Source organism: Homo sapiens, chromosome 1 (genome assembly GCF_000001405.40).
Source record: "Homo sapiens chromosome 1, GRCh38.p14 Primary Assembly".
Classification (NCBI taxonomy): domain Eukaryota; kingdom Metazoa; phylum Chordata; class Mammalia; order Primates; family Hominidae; genus Homo; species Homo sapiens.
The window spans coordinates 12,037,466-12,055,947 of record NC_000001.11 but is presented as its reverse complement, the minus strand read 5'-3'; the positions used below and the strand labels follow the sequence as shown (position 1 = coordinate 12,055,947).

Sequence of the window (18,482 nt, the reverse complement as noted above, 5' to 3'; positions counted from 1 at the left end):
CTGTTGTAAGGGAGTTTGCTCTAAGGGGATTGGCCTTGTGTTTCCCGTTACCCACCCTCCCTGTCTCCTCCACATGGGCCGAGTCTCTGACAATCAGGCAGGAAGAGCCTCCGAGCCCAGGACCAGCGCTGGAGGATTGGAAGGGGCCACAGGCACCCCTGTCTTCAAATAATGACTTGCAACTCAGAATTTTCAAGAAACCAGCACACCCGATCCCATGAAGGCTGAGAACATAGAGCCCTGAGGAAGAAACTGATCAAGGGTCCATCCAGGTCTTGAAGCTCCATCACTAGTCACTCCCTTGGGTCAAGGAATTGAAGGTCCCAGTTAAAATGTAAATCATTCCTGGAGAAACCCCTTGCTAAGTCCCTGGCAGATGTCGCAGGGGCTGGTTTCTCAGAAGAGCCTTGGTGGAGGGCAGGCCCTGGCATTCTGATGGCCCAGTGTGGCGAGAGGGTGTTGTGGAAGCACTTAGATTCAGACCTGAGCTCAGCACCTTGGCTGAGAAGGCCCCAGGTGGGGCACCGGCCACCCCGTCACACTCCCTAGTGGACTCCTTTCTCTCCTGATGCCACCAAGCTTGTCCCTGCCCCAGGGCCTTTGTGCTCGCTGGTCCCTCCGCCTGAAAACTTGTTCCCCCAGCTCTGCAAAGTGTTGTCCCTCTGAGAAAACTTCTGGGGTGACAGATATAGTGGTCATCTTGGTTGTGGAGAAGGATGTATATACATGCCAACACTTACAAAATGGTATACTTTAAGTTGGTCAAGATTACTGTGTGTCTATTATACCTCAATGAAGCTATTAACACACACACATTTTAAAACCGCAGCTCCTGCTCATCTTCAGGTGTTGGCTCAGATGAACCTCCTCAGAGAGGCTTTTCCTGACCACCCCAGCTGATGTTACCACTCTCTGCCACATCGCCCTGTTCATCAGGGACGTACCACAGTGTGGCATCGTTTATTTGCTCATTGCTAACTTTCCCCGCCTGGGGAGCAGGGATTGTGTCTGTCTGGTCCACTGACATAAGCAGGGCTTGGCTTCATGAATCTTTATTGAATGACTTGAATGACCAAGGACAGGGGTCCTAGCAGACATGGCGGACGTCAGACTCACCTTCTGGGGCTGGTCTAGGGGTGTTCCAAGAACACCAAGCAAGGCTGAGAAGGGCAGGTACTGCTCTGAAAGTGAAACCCGGAACACAGCCATGCTGCCAGCCCATCTGCGCCATCATCCATGCCGTGGGTGCCTGCAGAAAGTGCCAGCAGGGACCCTGTTCCTAGCAGGAGCTGCCCATCAGCATATGGCATTCATTCAGAAAATCCCTCTGGAATCTCCCTGGTCATTCCCTCCATGTGGCTGGGAGTGGGTCTGCCCCACTCCCAGAATCATCCCTCCCTCCAAACAGGAGGCAGGAGGCCTGAAGGCCCAGTCTGGCCTGGGGCTCACCAGACACAAAACCCTGGCAATGTGGAGAAACTAAGGCGTGGCCACAACTCAAGCCTCAGCTAGATCTGGAGACTCATGGGGACCTCCCCCTGAAGACTGGAACTGTGATCTGGCCTGAGAAAAACCCATCAGTTACCATCCATAACCCCCATCGACTCATGGTGATTTCACTGGGTTCTGGTTTGCATCAGACACTGGCCAGAGTGTGAGAGCTGAGGTGGGGGTCGCCACATCCAGCAACCGCTCCCCTACCCCAGTTACACCGACCCTGAGGCCAAAGTCCCACAGCCAGTCAGTGCAGGGACAGCCCCCAGGCCCCAGCCTCCTGAGCCCCCACCCGGCCCCTCTGCCCTCGCCCGGCTTTATTGTGTGTATTTGCTGCTTGCTATCATTTTCCTTTTCCAGGCCTGTCACCAGGGGAGCAAAGCCTTGACCCCAAGCTTTCAGACTCTGGCAAGGGAGGCAGATGGCAGGGGTCTCAAGGGTCTGCTTGGCTGTGACTGCAGAGGCTGATGGAACATCAGGGCTTTGGGAGCGGTCAGCGGCCTGTTTCAGTGCTGCACACACACACATACACATATGCACACACACATGCACACACACGTACACATAGGCACACACACATGCACACACACGTACACATCTGTGTGAGCACACACTTGCCTCCCAGACTCAGCATCCATCATCCCCAATGCCCGGCCAGCTTATCTACCTATTACCTGAAAACAATCCTGTTATCTGTCCAAGGAGATAGTGTGGAAATAAATGCTTAGCAAGAAATGGCCTGTGCTGTCTACCCCACATCCACCTCCTGGGGGGCCTGTGTGTTCTGGGGGTCACTCTTGCATTTCAAGTGACTCCAAACAACGTCCCCAAAGCAGCAGCCCACCTTGTGTTTCCTTGGGGCCTGAGCCCGGCCACTGGCTGGCGTCCCACTCTCATGCTTGGCAGTGGAAACAGCAGCCACTGCCTTGGCTTGCACTGACACTGCACAGGCGCCAGGGTTCTTTCTGAGCCAGGCCTTCCGGCTCTGCAGGGGCCATTGAACTGAGCCAAGGAAAGAACATATTGGTGGCGGCCGGGCGTCATGGCGCACACCTGCGGTCCAAGCTACTCAGGAGGCTGAGGTGGGAAGATTGCTTGAGCCCAGGAGTTCAAGGCTGTAGTGAGCCATGATTATGCCACTGCACTCCAGCCTGAATAACAGTCAGCCTGGCCCTGACTCTAAAAAAAAAGAAAAAGAAAAAAAAAAAGAACCTGTTGATAGCATCTACGGATATGGGTAGACACTGACCCCTGGGGTCCCTTCCTTGTACTCCAGGGACCAGCACTTGACCATCCAGGCCTGTGTGGTCTGTCAAGCAGACCTGGTGCCCAGCAAGACCTGGGGCTCTGCCAGGACCACTCCTATGAGACCTGCTCTTGCTGCAGTGTCTAATGTGCCTATAGGAGCAAGAACGCTTGGACGAAAGGAACACATCCCTGCTTAAGAGGCAACGCCATGGATTAATATTCATTTAAACAAACACTTCTACAGGCATATGGGTACCAGGCCCCAGGATAGGTGCTGGGGTTCATCAGTGAACAAGGCTTTTGCCCTCAGAGGGATGGGAGCCACTAGGAGTTTGGATCAGGGAGGGGCATGGCCTGACTTGGGTTGTCCGGGTCACTCCGGCTGTTGCGTGGGAAATAGATGGCCCAGGAAAAGAGGGGGAGGACGAGAGAGGGGAGAGCAGGCAGGGGCAACTGAAGCATCCAGGGTGGAGGGGGTGGAGGCTGGGGCCAGGAGGGAGCTGTGGGAGAGGGAAGGGGCCGGATTAGGGGTGAACTTTGGGGATGGGATTTACTGAAGGATTGGATGTGTGCGAGAATGAGGCAAAGGTTTGGCCTGGGAAACTGGAAGAGTGACGTTGCCTTCAGCTGGGGTGAGGAGGGACTACTGAGGGAGGGCAGGGGCTTTAGGAGCACCTGTCAGCGGCCACCTACCCAGACTGTGGTGGGGTGGATGCAGTGGTCAGTGAGGGCTTCCTGGCAGAGGTGAGGCTCAAGCTGAGACCTGAAAGAAGGAGCAGGCTGGGGAGAAAGGGGTGAGAACAGCAAAGAGTGGGACTGCTGGGAAGAGCTCGCTGAGGGTGGCTGGGGGAACTTTCAGTGGCCCCAGGGGGGCCCGAGGGTTACTGACAGGGAAAGGAGAGAGCTCCAGATGAGGCCAGAGGGGCAGGACGGGTCCAGGCTGCTTACTCAGCACCAACAGGGAGGGAGGCTTGGCCATGAGCAGCCCAATCAGACCGAGAAATGGAGACGGGTAATAAATAGCCACAGATGAGTCATCTCAAGCCCCAATTCTGAGCCTGCCTCGCTGCTCTCCTGGGCCCGCAGCCTTCCTGGGAGGGGCCCCTGATTTCAGAATGACCAGGTCAGGCAGAGCTCAACTACCAGGGCCCCTGTGCTCGGGGCTCAACCCTGCAAGGCCCCAGGTGGCAAGGCAGCTTCGCCTTGTGGCAGCTGGTCCCATCGCCTTCCTCAGAACTCAGGTCAAAATAAGCAGCACACAGAAAACATTTTTTATGTGATCATTGCTTCAAACTTTTTTTTTTAAATCCTAGTATTAATTAGCCAGGTATGTAGGACTAATACAGTGCTCACCTGCGGTCCCAGCTGCCTGGGAGGCTGAGGCGGGAGAATTGCTTAAACCCAGGAAATCGAGGCTGCAGTGAGCTAGGATTGCACCACTGCACTCCAGGCTGGGTGACAGAGTGAGACTCTGTTTAAAAACAAAAAAAAAAAAAAGCTGTATTAATAAAATGTAATTAGAGGTATCCAGGTGTTGGGGGAAAAAAGCATTTGGTAAAGTCAGAGAAAGCTGGGTTCAAATCCCACCTCTTACTGCAGCCACAGCTGAGCAACTTGGAGCCAGCTGGTTAACCACCCTGGGCCTTGCCTTTCTTATCCATCAAATGGAAATAACAATGGCACTGACATCACAGACTTATGCAAAGATCTGAGATGCTAAATGCTTGGCACAGGAAGCTCCAGGATACCCAGCTATAATACCACAAAGACAGGGATCTATTCTAAATTTGTGGCCATCTAGTCAGGGCCCGGCCACAGGACAAATGAGGCCACCATTTTGCCTCCAGGCCCCCAGGTCTCCTGGGCCTCAGATGCCGGAGCACAAAGCCTCACTGTATTTGCACCTGGTTCACGCAGCCCCCTGGAGGCTCTGGACTTGAGAAGGCAAGCTCCCTGAGGGCAGGGAGTTTCTCAATGCTAGTTTCTCAATGCTTTATTACCAGGGCTTGGCATAATAAATATTTATTGAATTAATAAATAGAGCAGGCCGGGCACAGTGGTTCACGCCTGTAATCCCAGCACTTTGGGAGGCCGAGGCGGGCTGATCACTTAAGGTCAGGAGTTCGAGACCAGCCTTGCCAACATGGTGAAACCCCGTCTCTACTAAAAATGCAAAAAAAAAAATTAGCTGGGAGTGGTGGTGGGTGCCTGTAATCCCAGCTAATCGGGAGGCTGAGGCAGGAGAATCGCTTGAACCCAGGAGGCAGAGGTTGCAGTGAGCTGAGATTGCGCCACTGCAGAGCGAGACTCCATCTCAAAAAAAAAAAAAAGAATATAACCATCTCAAATTAAAAATAATAATAGGCTGGGCACGGTGGCTTACCCCTGTAATCCTAGCACTTTGGGAGGCTGAGGCAGGTGGATTACTTAAGGTCAGGAGTTTGAAACCAGCCTGGCCAACATGGTGAAACGCCGTTTCTAATAAAAATATAAAAAAATTAGCTGGGTGTGGTGGTGGGCACCTGTATTCCCAGCTAATCAGGAGGCTGAGGCAGGAGAATTGCTTGAACCTGGGAGGCAGAGGTTGCAGTGAGCCGAGATTGTGCCACTGCACTCCGGCCTGGGCAATAGAGAGAGATTCAGTCTCAAAATAATAATAATTTTTCAAGCAATTAGTTCGGCTTGCCACATTCTGATAGATTCAGATGCTAAGGAGACAATGAGCCCAGCTAGATTTAAAGGGTTTACTACTGGCCGGGCAGGGTGGCTCATGCCTATAATCCCAGCAATTTGGGAGGCCAAGGTGGGCAGATCCCTTGAGCCCAGGAGCTGCCCATCCTGGGCAACAAAGTGAGACTCCTCATCTCTACAAAAAAAAAAAAAAAAAATTAGCCGGGTGTGGTGGCATACTCCTGTAGTCCCAGCTACTCGGGGGACTGAGGTGGGAGGACGGCCTGAGCCCAGGAGGTCGAGGCTGTAGTGAGCCATGATCGCACCACTGCCCTCCAGCCTGGGTGACACAGCAAGACCCTGTCTAGAAAAAATAAAATGAGGGTCTACTACCTGCAGCCCTGCACATAGCATGAGCACTGAATTTGCATTGCTTGCCCTTGCCCTTGCCCTTAACATCCCTTCACGTAGGGTGAGGAACCAGCCCAGGCTGGTGCTGAGCACACACCATGGGAGACCCCCAATCTCATTAGGGGCTGCTGGCAAACCTATTCAACCTCTGTCCTGAGAAGACATTGTCTTTATCACCCTGGAATAGCCATCTCCCTAGGGGACGGGAGGGAGTCCTTACTGTCCTGGAAAGTAAATACATTTGCTCGCTAGCCCAGTGGGAGATGCTACCTCCAGCTTCCAAGACTGTTTGCTATGCAAACAATAATCATGGCTATCATTGATCAGCAGCTCCTAGGTGCCTACCAGCCATTGCAATAGCAGTCCCTGTATTAGTCCACTAGGGCTGAGTATAACAGAACAACACACGTTGGAGGGCTTAAGCAACAGAAATTTATTTCCTTTTTTTTTTTTCTTTCGAGACAAAGTCTCACTCTTGTCACCCAGGCTGGAGTGCAATGGCACAATCTTTGCTCACTGCAGCTTCTGTCTCCCGGGTTCAAGCAATTATCCTGCCTCAGCCTCCCGAGTAGCTAGGATTACAGGCATGTGCCACCACACCTGGCTAATTTTTGTATTTTTAGTAGAGACGGGGTTTTACCATGTTGCCAGGCTGGTCTCAAACTCCTGACCTCAGGTGATCCACCCGCCTTGGCCTCCCAAAGTGCTGGGATTACAGGAGTGAGCCACCACGCCCAGCCCAGAAATTTATTTTCTTATCATTCTCAAGGCTGTGAATCTGAGAGTAAGGTGTCAGCAGATTTGCTTTTTCCTCAGGTCTCGCTCCTTGACTTGAGGACATCACCTTCTTGCTATGTCCTTGAGGGGCCTTTTCTCTGCGTGTGCATTCCTGGTGTCCTTTTCTCTTCTTAGGAGTGTGATAATCCCATTAGCTGAAAGCCCCACCCTTAGGACCTCGCTTAACCTTAATTACCTTTTTAAAGGTCCTGTCTTGGCCAGGCGCGGTGGCTCACGCCTGTAATCCCAACACTTTGGGAGGCCGAGGCGGGCGGATCACAAGGTCAGGAGTTTGAGACCACCCTGACCAACATGGTGAAACCCTGTCTCTACTAAAAATACAAACATTAGCCGGGCTTGTTGGCACGTGCCTATAATCCCAGCTTCTGGGGAGGTCAAGGCAGGAGAATCATTTGAACCCGGGAGGCGGAGGTTGCAGTGAGCCGAGATCATGCCACTGCACTCCAGCCTGGATGACAGAGAAAGACTTCGTCTTAAAAAAACAAAAACAAAAATGAAAACAAAAACCAAAAAGAGGCCCTGTCTCATTGGGGGTTAGGGCTTCAACCTATGAATTTGGGGGGCATGAACTTGGCAGGGAGAAGCAGGCACAGTTCAGTCCATAACGGCTCTTCTCCACATGAGTTCATTTATTTCCCATATCCACAAGGAGGCTTAGAAAGAGATGAAGTTGAGTTGTGAGGCAACTTGTCCAAAGTCACATAGAAAAAAGAAAAAAGCAACATGTCCTACTGTTTCAATGAATAACCGTGTCCTCTGTGCCTGGGCTCAACTCCAGAGAACTTGGAAGGAAGAAGGGAGTCATGGATTTGGATCTGAAAGGTTCCTAAGCAGGAAGAATCTGCTTCATCCCAGGAATTGTTCTAAGACTTTTTTTTTTCTTTGTCTTTTTCTTTCTTTCCTTTCTTTCTTTCTTTCTTTTTTTTCTTTCTCTTTTGAGACAGCTTCTGGCTCTGTTGCCCAGGCTGGAGTGAGGTGACATGATCTCAGCTCACTGCAGCCTCAACTTCCCTGGCTCAATTGATCCTCCCACCTCAGCCTCCTGAGTAGCTGAAACTACAGGCACGCACCACCATGCCCGGCTAATTTTTGTTATTTTCTGTAGAGATGGGGGTCTTCCTATGTTGCCCAGGCAGGCTGGTCTCCATCTCCTGGGCTCAAATGATCTGCCCACCTCAGCATCCCAAAGTGCTGGGATTACAGGTGTGAGCCACCATACCTGGCAATGCTCTAAGACTTTTCAAACCTTAGGACCTATCTAACAATCTGTGTACCTCTGGGTCACCCTCTTTTCCACGGGAGGGGACAGAGCACCTTGCTGAGTGACTCTGCTGACAATGGTGAAACAAGACTTGAACTCAGTCTGAAAGACTTCACACGGCTGCAGGCAGTGGGTATAAATGCCAGCTTGGAGCCCCCCAAACCTGATGGCTGGAAAAGGGGCAACACAGCTGGGGCTCCCAGGTGTCAGTGCCCCCGGGAGCCTCTGGGATCAGCTGTTGACCCCAACTTCCCCCGCAGGGGTTCCCAGCTGTCACGTCAGAATTCATCTGCCTAAGCACTAAAGAAACTCCAAGATGACGCATTGGTGCTCTGGGGGTGGCGGGAGAGGGTTGATGGGGGCCTGTCCACAACCCCAGCCCCTATGGTGACGTCACTTCTCACCCCCACAGTTCTTTCTCTCCACCTTCCATCTCACAAACTGCTGGGCAAGCGGCCGGGCTGACAAGCAGGGAAGCCCTGGGCTTCTCCCAGCCAGAACAGACCGATCGGAGAGGCAGGCGGTGGCCCTGGATGCTTGAGGTTTGAGCTGTAGCCGCTGGTGCTGTTAAAACCACAAGAGATTGAAAAAAACTCCTTGCCAGTCAAAATGAAAAGTGAGACTGAGAGAAACTGAGTGAGAAGATCTCGGTAAAGAAAAAGCCAAGTGTTGGCTTCCATGAAAGAAACACGGCCCAATGGGTCATTAAATGACTAAGTTCTGGGGCCACACTGACAATGACAGGGCTTCCTGCAGCACGTGTGTGTGTGCATGTGTGTGTGTGCATGTGTGTGTGTGCGTGTGTGTGTGCGTGTGTGTATGCATGTGCACACATGTGAGGGAGTGTGTGTAAGGGAGGGAGTGTGAGGGTGTGCAAGAGGGCTCGTGCCCTCAAAAGTAGGGACCTGTGGGCTCAAGGCTGTGTGTCCACAAGTGTATGAGAGTGGGGTGTGTGTGTGAGCTGGTGTACACACAAGTGTGTCTAGGGTGTGTGTGTAAGTGTATGAGTGTGTGAGAGCAGCGAGGGCTTGTGCCCCTGAGATTATGTGCGCATGCACGTGGTGTGTGTGCACAAGGATGTGTGTGTGAGGTTCTGCGTGCTTGAGGTTGTGTGTGCAAATGTGTGACGGTGTGTGGGTGTGGGTGTGTGCATGTGGGTGGGTAGGTGTGTGCTCAAGGCTGTGTGTGTAAGGGTGTGTGTGTATGCAAGTGTGCCAGGGTGTGTGATCAGCAAAGCATTATGATCCCCTTCCCCCAACTTCACAGCAAGTGGGGCAGCGACCCCACCTCTAACCCCTGTCAGCCAGGGAGGAAGGGAAGGAAGGCCCAGAGCTCAGTGTCAGGTTATGTAGTGCGGGGCCACATAGGGGCTCACTCAGCCCAATCCAGGCTTTGCCACTCCTCCTGGCTAAGCTGCCTCCCGAGGAAAATAGGAGTCCACCCAATGCCAGCAGAGGAGGAGAGAAATGTCAGCACAGATGTCTACCAAGGGGCATGTGATGCAGCTCAAAAGGACGGACTCTGGAGTTCAGGGTGGTCTGAGTTCGAATCCTGGCTTGGTCCCTTGATAGCTGTGTGGCCCGAGACAGGTCAGTTAACCTCTCTGTGCCTCAAATGCCCCATCTCTAAACTGGGGATAATAACCTTACCTTACAGGATGGTTTTGAGAACTCGAAGAGTAAGAGATATGGAGCTCTTAGAATAGTGCATGGTGGGGCCGGGCACAGTGGCTCATGCCTCTAATCACAGCACTTTGGGAGGCTGAGGTGGGCAGATCACATGGTCAGGAAATCAAGACCATCCTGGCTAATACGGTGAAACCCCGTCTCTACTAAAAATACAAAAAATCAGCCAGGTGTGGTGGCACGTGACTGTAGTCCCAGCTACTCAGGATGCTGAGGCAGGAGAATCACTTGAACCCAGGAGGCAGAGGTTGCAGTGAGCCGAGATCGCGCGATTGCACTCCAGACTAGGGGACAGAGCAAGACTCCATCTCAAAAAATAAAATAAATAAAATAAGAATAGTGCATGGCACATGATACGCACTATCTAAATCTTCCTCTTACTGGCCGGGCACAGTGGTTCACGCCTGTAATCCCTGCACTTTGGGAGGCAGAGGTGGGTGGATCACCTGAGGCCAGGAGTTTGAGAACAGCCTGGCCAATATGGTGAAATCCCGTCTCTACTAAAAGCATAAAAATTAGCCAGACGTGGTGGCACGTGCCTGTAATCCCAGCTACTTGAGAGGCTGAGGCACAAGAATCACGTGAGCCTGCGAGGTGGAGGCTGCAGTGAGCCGAGATCGCGCCACTGCAATCCAGCCTGCGTGACAGAGCAAGACTCCATCTCAAATAAAAAAAAAATAGAAAGAAAAATCTTCCTCTTACTACCATAAGTGATGCCTGCAAGCCATGAGCTCCCGAATTTAGTACACCTAGGACAGATGAACCCCCAGGATTATAAAACCCCAAGATACATCAGATGCCGGAGTGGCCAGACACCAAGGGCCATGAGGCTGTCTCAGCTTGTCGGTGACCAGGGCAGAGGGTTGGGGGTACTGCCTGCTGTCCACCCCTCCCATCTATGGGAGACCTCATCTCCCCAACGTGTCATCTTGAGAGGCTGCTTTGGCCGGTAAGACAAACCTGCATTTACAGCTTGGAGCACTGAGGTCAAGCAGCGGGGAGCTTTGGAGTTCAGGAATCTCAGGATGGAGGGCCAGGGATGAGTTTCCTTCCCCCCACTCCACCTCAAGCCCAACAAGGAATTTTCTGGCATGATGAGCGTGTTAGTCTGCTCAGGCTGCCATAAAGTCCCGCAAATGGGGTGGCTTAAGCCACAGAAATTAGCTTCCTCGCACTTCTGGAGGTGAAGGTTGAGGCGTCAGCAGGGCTGGGTTTTTTCAAGACCTCTCTCCTTGGCTCACGGGTGGCCATGTTGTCGCTGCGTTCTCACCTGGACTTTCCTCTGTACGTGCACAGGTCTGTGGCCAAATTTCCCCTTTTTGTAAGGACACCAGTCGTATTGGATTAGGGTCCACCTGAAAGGCCTTGTTTTAACTTAATTGCCTCTTTAAAGACTATCTCAAAGGACTGTTGCATTCTGAAGTACTGGAGGTTAGGACTTCCAAATGTGAATTTGGGGAGGGACACAGTTCAGCCCAGGACACTGAGGTTTCTGCTTGCCCCAGAAAATTAATTCCCAACTGAAGCTAAGAGCTAAACTGTGGACTTGACCGTGAGCAAACAGCCGTCACGTGGCCACCCCAGCATCTCATTCATCATTCATCCAGGCAACTGTGAACTGTATTCATTTCTTTTTTTTTTTTTTGAGTCAGAGTCTCGCTCTGTCACCCAGGTTGGAGTGCAGTGGCGTGATCTCAGCTCACTGCAACCTCTGCCTCCCAGGTTCAAGCGACTCTCGTGCCCCAGCCTCCCGAGTAAGTGAGATTTCAGGTGCATGCCATTACACCGGCTAATTTTTGTATTTTCAGTAGAGACGGGGTTTCACCATGTTAGCCAGACTGGTCTCAAACTCCTGACCTCAAGTGATCCACCCACCTCGGCCTCCCAGAGTGCTAGGATTACAGGCATGAGGTACCACGCCCAGTCTGTGTTCATTTCTTAGGGCCACTGTAGTAACTGCTCACAAACGGTATGATTAAAACAATTGAAACTTCTAGCCTCTAGTTCTGGAGACCGGAAGTCCAAGATCAAGGTGTTGGCAGGGTTGCTTCCTTCTGGAAGCTCTGACAGAAAATCTGTCCCTCCTATGCCTCTCCCCTGGCTTCTAGCAGCTGCCTGCCATCCTTCATCAGTCCTCTCTGCCCCTGTCATCATGTTCCCTGCTTGCTTTTTTTTTTTTTTCAGTGAGATAGCGCCTTGCTCTGTTGCCCAGGCTGGAGTGCAGTGGCGTGATCTCGGCTCACTGCAACCTCTGCCACCCGGGTTCAAGTGATTCTCCTGCCTCAGCCTCCCGAGTAGCTGGGATTACAGGCACGCACCACCTGGCTAATTTTTTTTTTTTTTGTATTTTTAGTAGAGACGGGGTTTTACCATGTTGGCCAGGCTGGACTCAAACTCCTGACCTCAGGTGATCCGCCCACCTCAGCCTCCCAAAGTGCTGGGATTACAGGTGTGAGCCACCACTCCTGGCCCATGTTCCCTAATTCTTTGTGTCTCTGTGGTGTGTCCTTTTCTGTATCTTATAAGACACCTATTATTGGATTTAAAGCCCTCCCTAAACCAGGATGCTCTCATTTTGAGATCATTACCCTACCTTTTTTTTTTTTTTTTTTTTCCGATTTCTCAATCTTTTCCCCACCTTTCCCCCCTTTCCATTCCACAAAACCGCCATTGTCATCATGGCCCGTTCTCAATGAGCTGTTGGGTACACCTCCCAGACGGGGTGGTGGCCTGGCAGAGGGGCTCCTCACTTCCCAGTAGGGGCGGCCGGGCAGAGGCGCCCCTCACCTCCCGGACGGGGCGGCTGGCCGGGCGGGGGGCTGACCCCCCACCTCCCTCCCGGACGGGGCGGCTGGCCTGGCTGGGGGCTGACCCCCCCACCTCTCTCCCGGACGGGGTGGCTGCCGGGCGGAGAGGCTCCTCACTTCCCAGACGGGGTGGCTGCCGGGCGGAGGGGCTCCTCACTTCTCAGACGGGGCGGCTGCCGGGTGGAGGGTCTCCTCACTTCTCAGACGGAGCGGCCGGGCAGAGATGCTCCTCACCTCCCAGACGGGGTCGCAGCCGGGCAGAGGCGCTCCTCACATCCCAGCCGGGGCGGCAGGGCAGAGGCGCTCCCCACATCTCAGACGATGGGCGGCCGGGCAGAGACGCTCCTCACTTCCTAGATGGGATGGCGGCCGGGCAGAGACGCTCCTCACTTTCCAGACTGGGCAGCCAGGCAGAGGGGCTCCTCACATCCCAGACGATGGGCGGCCAGGCAGAGACGCTCCTCACTTCCCAGACGGGGTGGCGGCCGGGCAGAGGCTGCAATCTCGGCACTTTGGGAGGCCAAGGCAGGCGGCTGGGAGGTGGAGGTTTTAGCGAGCCGAGATCACGCCACTGCACTCCAGCCTGGGCACCATTGAGCACTGAGTGAACGAGACTCCGTCTGCAATCCCGGCACCTCGGGAGGCCGAGGCTGGCGGATCACTCGCGATTAGGAGCTGGAGACGGGCCCGGCCAACACAGCGAAACCCCGTCTCCACCAAAAAAATACGAAAACCAGTCAGGCGTGGCGGCGCGCGCCTGCAATCGCAGGCACTCGGCAGGCTGAGGCAGGAGAATCAGGCAGGGAGGTTGCAGTGAGCCGAGATGGCAGCAGTACAGTCCAGCTTCGGCTCGGCATCAGAGGGAGACCGTGGGGAGAGGGAGAGGGAGAGGGAGAGGGAGAGGGAGAGGGAGAGGGACTCGCGTCTTAAGAGCCCCATTACCCTACCTTAATTACATCTGCAGAAAGGCTGGGCATGGTGGCTCACGCCTGTAATCCCAGCACTTTGGGAGGCCAAGGCGGGTGGATCACTTAAGGTCAGGAGTTCAAGACTATCCTAGCCAACATGGTGAAACCCTGTCTCTACTGAAAATACAAAAAATTAGCCAGGTATGGTGGTGTGCGTCTGTAGTCCCAGTTGCTCGGGAGGCTGAGGCAGGAGAATCACTTGAACCCGGGAGGCGCAGGTTGCAGTGAGCCGAGAGCGTGCCACTGCGCTCCAGCTTGGGCAACCAAAAACAAACAAACAAAAAACAGAAAGAAAAAAAGAAAAGAAATTTATGTTGCTTAAGCCCTGCAGTCTGTGGTGTTCTGTTATACAGCCCTAGCGGGTGATAGGGTGAGACTATCTCAAAAAAAAAAAAAAAAAAAGAAAAAAATTATATCTGCATAGACCCTTATTCCAAATAAGGTCATATACTCTGAAGTTCTAGGTGGACATATCTTTGGGGGGCCACCTCTGAACCCACATCAGGGACCCAGAGAAGATGCCGGCTCTCCCAAATGTCAGTGTCCTCAGAGTCCTTTGGCAGCTGAGGCCCACAGGGAGGATCAGCACCTGGGAGACCCTTGTCCTTCAGAAGGGCCCAGCCCAGCAAGGCAAGAAGTCCCAAGGAACCCACCCATCCCGGTCAGGAGAACCACAGGAGGGTTTTACGGGGATGGGGAGTCCACGTGGCCAGGCAGGGAGACTGAGGAAAGGTTTGGGCAATCCGGCCTGAAGGCGGGACTTGAGCAGGTCTTACCCTGCAGGAGGAGTGGAATGGAGGTGTGGGTAACTGCCCCCATCCTGCTCTGTTCCCACACCGTGTCCTACAGAGTCCCTAGAGTTCCCAACCAAAGATTCCTGGAAGGGCCTGAGTGGTTTTCAGGCCTCTGACCCTCCCAGGCTTGGAGGCCCGCAGGGCCCTACTCCAGCACAGACACTGGGCCAGCGCCCTGTGTCCATCATTTCATGGAAGAATCACCTGAAACTTCCCCTGCTCCCACTCGGCTCATTCCTTACTGTGTATCTGGCCAGGTGGGGTGGACCCCTCTAGAGACAGGATCCTCATCTGCCAATATGCACACAGGCCCTGGTTTCAAATAATAATGTTGCACATTTATTAGGCCCAGTACTGCACTACGCATTTCATCTCCTGATCATCTAATTTCATCCTCTAAAAACCCCAACGCAGTAGGTAACATTCTTGGTTTTCTGGGTTTTTTTTTTTTGTTGTTGTTGTTTTGTTTTGTTTTGTTTTGTTTTTTGAGACAGGGTCTTGCTCTGTCACCCAGGCTGGAGTGCAGTAGCTCGACCGTGGCTCGCTGCAGCTTCCAACTCCTGGGCTCAAGTGATCCTCCTGCCTCAGCCTCCCAAGTGGCTGGAAACACAGGTTCGTGCCACCACACCTGGCTAATTTTTTAAATTCTTTTGTAGAGACAGGGGTCTCCCTATGTTGCCCAAGCCGGTCTCGAGCTCCTGGGCTCAAGCAATCCACCCACCTTGGCCTCCCAAAGTGTTGGCATTATAGGTGTGAGCCACGGTGCCTGGCCCAGTAGGTAGCATTCTAATCCCCATTCTACAGATGAGGAAACTGAGGCTCAGAGAAGCCCACTGACTTGTGCAGGAGCAGCAGCCAACACTGACCCCCAGGCTGAGGCTCCAGGTCCAGTGTTCTGCAACACACAGCTGGCACCTGGGGCTGCTTCCTCTCCTGGGTGAGCCTAAGTAGCAAATGTAAGAAGTTATGTTTGCTCATTTCTGCTTGAGTGGATTCACAAGCCGCTGGCTCTGTGACAATGGGCAGCTCTCTGGAGGGATGCTTTGAAGACAAAACAGAATAGAGCCCCATGTCTCTTGCGTGAGTCACTATATTCCTTGAAAGATAAATGGCCCCAGACTTGCTTTTTCCTACACATAAGATACCATCTGGTGGGGTTAGTGATTCTGCCTCCACAATCGATTCAGCAGATGTGCTTTAGTCATCTATAGCCAGATGTACTCTATACCCAAACCTCGATGTGATTTTGTACATATTACAGCTTCACCACCTGTACATAAACTGTGAACTGAAACTGCCAGAGCAGCTGATAGAACCCCTCCACAGGGCTGCTCTCAGGCAATAGGCTCGGTCTATAGTCCTGGTAAAACTTCTGAATAAAAAGAACTCTAAAGTTTTTGTTTTTTGTTTTTGAGACGGAGTTTCACTCTTGTTGCCCAGGCTGGAATGCAATGGTGTGATCTCAGCTCACTGCAACCTCTGCCTCCCGGGTTCAAGCGATTCTCCTCCCGCAGCCTCCCGAGTAGCTGACATTACAGGCATGTGCCACCACGCCCGGCTAATTTTGTATTTTTAGTAGAGACTGGGTTTCTCAATGTTGGTCAGACTGGTCTCGAACTCCTGACCTCAAGTGATCTGCCCACCTTGGCCTCCCAAAGTGCTGGGATTACAGGCTTGAGCCACCACGCCCGGCATTTTTATTTATTTATTTATTTTTAGACATGGTCTCACTCTGTTGCTCAGGCTGGAGTGCAGTGTTGTGATCACCACGCACTGCAGTCTCAGACTTCCCCGGGCTCAGGTGATCCTCCCACCTCAGCCTACCAAGTAGCTGGGAACCACAGATGTATGTCACCATGCCTGGCTAATTTTTTGTATTTTCAGTAGAGATGGGGTTTCATCTCTACATGTTGCCCAGGCTGCTCTTAAACTCCTGGGCTCGGGCAATCCACTGGCTTCAGCCTCCCAAATTACTGGGATTACAAGTGTGAGCTACCACACCCAGCCCGAACTCTAATTCTTCAGCTTTTTATTTTCTTTAGTTGACACCTGGCAAACTTCCACCATGGGAGTCAGGGGGTGTTTGTCAGAATTTGCTGGGAATGGGATGGGGGGCAGCTAGTTCTCCCTCGAGGCTGGGGTGTTCTGTAACCCTCAATCCTGGTGGACAGGAAGGGTTCCCCCACCAAATCTGAGGCCTGGGGAATTCTCAAAGCCCTCCCTCTCCCCTTCTCCACTGGCTGAGATGTCATGAGTCCTGGCTGGCCAAGAAAGGCTTCCTTGCCTCGGGAGCTGGAGGCCCAGGACACCTGGGTGCCTCTGGTATCCCATCAACAATGGTGGGGGATAGAGGAGGCAGGGCTGGGGGAAGCAGAGGGGTTTCTGCTGAGTTTCAGAGGCTGTGTTGCCAACTCTTAGCCACAGATAAAGAGGGCCAAAGAGAGTGTGGTCAGAGCTCAGCATGGTGATGGCATGACAGGGGATGTCCCCAAAGGCCACCCAAACCATCATCAGGCACTCTTATGCCACCCCAACTGATCACATCACGATCCTGTGGGCCCAGCTTCCTCTCAAAACTTCCTGCAAGGCTTCAGCCATCCACCCTCACAGCCTCAGCACTGGCCCCAGGGAGGGTCCTGCCCACCCACATCCCTCCTCCCTCCCTGTCCTCAGAGCCTCCATGCTAATGAAACTGGCAAGAAGGCTGCTGCCGGCATCTGCTCCCAGCAACAGCCCTTCCAGGAGCTGGGGGTGAAGGCCACTGGATCAAAGGACTCCATGCCCTGCTTCCATTCTCTCTTATCGTCCTGGGGAAGGCATGAGCTGGAGCAAACTCAGGGGGCAGGTTCCATTCCAGGCAACAGGATGGCATCAATCTTATGATGGAAGAGCTGATGACAGTCTTATCATTTCTCATAGCTCCCCTCCCCGTCAGACCACGTGCCCGGGTCTCTGCAGGTCGGATCTGGTTCACCTCTTCTTGGAGTTATCGCCCGTGTACAGATGACAAAACTGAGCTACATACAGAAAGGCTAAGTGACACGGCCGCCGTCACGCAGTCAGTGGGTGGCAATACCGAGGGCGGGTGTTCGGAGCTACACTCTATGTCCTCCCACAGATTGGGCTGAAAAGTTCAGCAAACCTACAGCCAAGTCTACATTGAGCCAGTGTGCATTCTCAGAACATCTGAATGCCACTTTCCAAAGGCAGAGGGGGGAAATCCAGCTGTGTGTGTGTTTCTGGGCCATGCACGCTTCACCTCATGATGAAGTGGGAGTGGAAGGGTCACCCAACCCCTCCAGGGAGAATTCCCCTTTGCAGCCTCCCTCTCAGAGGGTGGCAATCAGTAGCCAACAGGTCCTTGTCTTGCCTGGGAGGTTAAAAGTGGCCTGAGGGAGGGAAGGTGGGGTTATTTCCATACACTTCCATCTGCACGCCAAGGGACTGGGCCCTGCAGCTGCCAATGGATGGCGGACGTAGAGTTTCCCAGATGAAGATGTTTCAGCTGTCCCCAGCCGCTCCCTACCATCCACCCTAGGGTCCTAGACTCCCCTGGGAGACTGGTGCTGAGCCGAGACCCCACAATCTGCCTGAGGCCTAGGGCAACAGATGTGCAGAAACCAGCGCAAGCTAGAACAGCAGCAGCTCAGCCCCAGTGCTAGAATCCCAGGAAACAGGAACCTCGGGTCTCAGGGCTGCCAGGTCTACCTTCCCAAGACCTGGGAGCTCATTTACTCCCTCGTTCATTCAACATTTATTTATTGAACGTCTATCATATGCCGCATGCTGTACTAGGCCCTGGGGATAGCGCCAAGGACAGGACAGGCTTGGTTCCTGCTCTCAAGGAGCTTACAGTCAAGTGTCACAAAGTCTACAATGGGGATGCTGCAGAACCCAACTCCAGGAGCCTTGGCCAGTTCGGTCGGCTCAGGGAAGGGCTCTGAGGAATTGAAATAGAAGCTGAGGACTGAGTAGGAGTTCATTGGGTGGAAGAGAGCTTTGGGCAGAGGCAATGGAGTAGATAAAGACCCAGAGGCCAGGGGGAGCCTGCCGGTTTAAGACCCAGAAAAAAGCTTCAGCAGAGCTGGAGCCTCGCCTGGGAGGGGTGTGGGAGGTGTGAGACGTGGGTCAGGGAAGCGTGGTCGGGCTGCTCTGGTTTTCTTCCCAGCACTTCCCACCACCTGACACATTTTCTGTTTACTGGCTTATTTCAGACTGCAGCCCCCCCACCCAGCAGCAGGGAAGCTCCAGGGGGCAGGCTCCTGTGGCTGTGGGTGCTAGTGTTGTCTGCTTCACTGCCGCATCTGCAGAGCCTAGAACAGTGCCTAGCACACAGGAGGAGTCGA

At 53.1% G+C, this 18,482-nt stretch overlaps 12 annotated features.

Annotated features, from left to right (window-relative positions):
- Window positions 1,773-1,822: a silencer, noted in NCBI's record as "silent region_281". NCBI's record gives its function as "represses an Ori minimal core promoter by ATAC-STARR-seq in GM12878 lymphoblastoid cells {active_cell/tissue: GM12878}" and the evidence as "EXISTENCE:reporter gene assay evidence [ECO:0000049][PMID:35858748]".
- Window positions 2,705-2,754: an enhancer, noted in NCBI's record as "active region_195". NCBI's record gives its function as "activates an Ori minimal core promoter by ATAC-STARR-seq in GM12878 lymphoblastoid cells {active_cell/tissue: GM12878}" and the evidence as "EXISTENCE:reporter gene assay evidence [ECO:0000049][PMID:35858748]".
- Window positions 3,430-3,489: an enhancer, noted in NCBI's record as "active region_194". NCBI's record gives its function as "activates an Ori minimal core promoter by ATAC-STARR-seq in GM12878 lymphoblastoid cells {active_cell/tissue: GM12878}" and the evidence as "EXISTENCE:reporter gene assay evidence [ECO:0000049][PMID:35858748]".
- Window positions 3,500-3,589: an enhancer, noted in NCBI's record as "active region_193". NCBI's record gives its function as "activates an Ori minimal core promoter by ATAC-STARR-seq in GM12878 lymphoblastoid cells {active_cell/tissue: GM12878}" and the evidence as "EXISTENCE:reporter gene assay evidence [ECO:0000049][PMID:35858748]".
- Window positions 3,630-3,779: an enhancer, noted in NCBI's record as "active region_192". NCBI's record gives its function as "activates an Ori minimal core promoter by ATAC-STARR-seq in GM12878 lymphoblastoid cells {active_cell/tissue: GM12878}" and the evidence as "EXISTENCE:reporter gene assay evidence [ECO:0000049][PMID:35858748]".
- Window positions 7,848-7,937: an enhancer, noted in NCBI's record as "active region_191". NCBI's record gives its function as "activates an Ori minimal core promoter by ATAC-STARR-seq in GM12878 lymphoblastoid cells {active_cell/tissue: GM12878}" and the evidence as "EXISTENCE:reporter gene assay evidence [ECO:0000049][PMID:35858748]".
- Window positions 8,328-8,417: an enhancer, noted in NCBI's record as "active region_190". NCBI's record gives its function as "activates an Ori minimal core promoter by ATAC-STARR-seq in GM12878 lymphoblastoid cells {active_cell/tissue: GM12878}" and the evidence as "EXISTENCE:reporter gene assay evidence [ECO:0000049][PMID:35858748]".
- Window positions 9,078-9,137: an enhancer, noted in NCBI's record as "active region_189". NCBI's record gives its function as "activates an Ori minimal core promoter by ATAC-STARR-seq in GM12878 lymphoblastoid cells {active_cell/tissue: GM12878}" and the evidence as "EXISTENCE:reporter gene assay evidence [ECO:0000049][PMID:35858748]".
- Window positions 15,160-15,229: an enhancer, noted in NCBI's record as "active region_188". NCBI's record gives its function as "activates an Ori minimal core promoter by ATAC-STARR-seq in GM12878 lymphoblastoid cells {active_cell/tissue: GM12878}" and the evidence as "EXISTENCE:reporter gene assay evidence [ECO:0000049][PMID:35858748]".
- Window positions 16,295-16,794: an enhancer, noted in NCBI's record as "H3K4me1 hESC enhancer chr1:12099211-12099710 (GRCh37/hg19 assembly coordinates)". NCBI's record gives its function as "activates a minimal SCP1, AML or CMV promoter by ChIP-STARR-seq in primed H9 embryonic stem cells {active_cell/tissue: H9 hESC(primed)}" and the evidence as "EXISTENCE:reporter gene assay evidence [ECO:0000049][PMID:30033119]".
- Window positions 16,295-17,699: a biological region, named in NCBI's record as "CRISPRi-validated cis-regulatory element chr1.1957". NCBI's record gives its function as "regulatory_interactions: MIIP".
- Window positions 16,577-17,699: a transcriptional cis regulatory region, noted in NCBI's record as "candidate enhancer chr1.1957 targeted for multiplex CRISPR interference". NCBI's record gives its function as "positively regulates MIIP gene expression in K562 cells {active_cell/tissue: K562}" and the evidence as "EXISTENCE:mutant phenotype evidence [ECO:0000015][PMID:30612741]".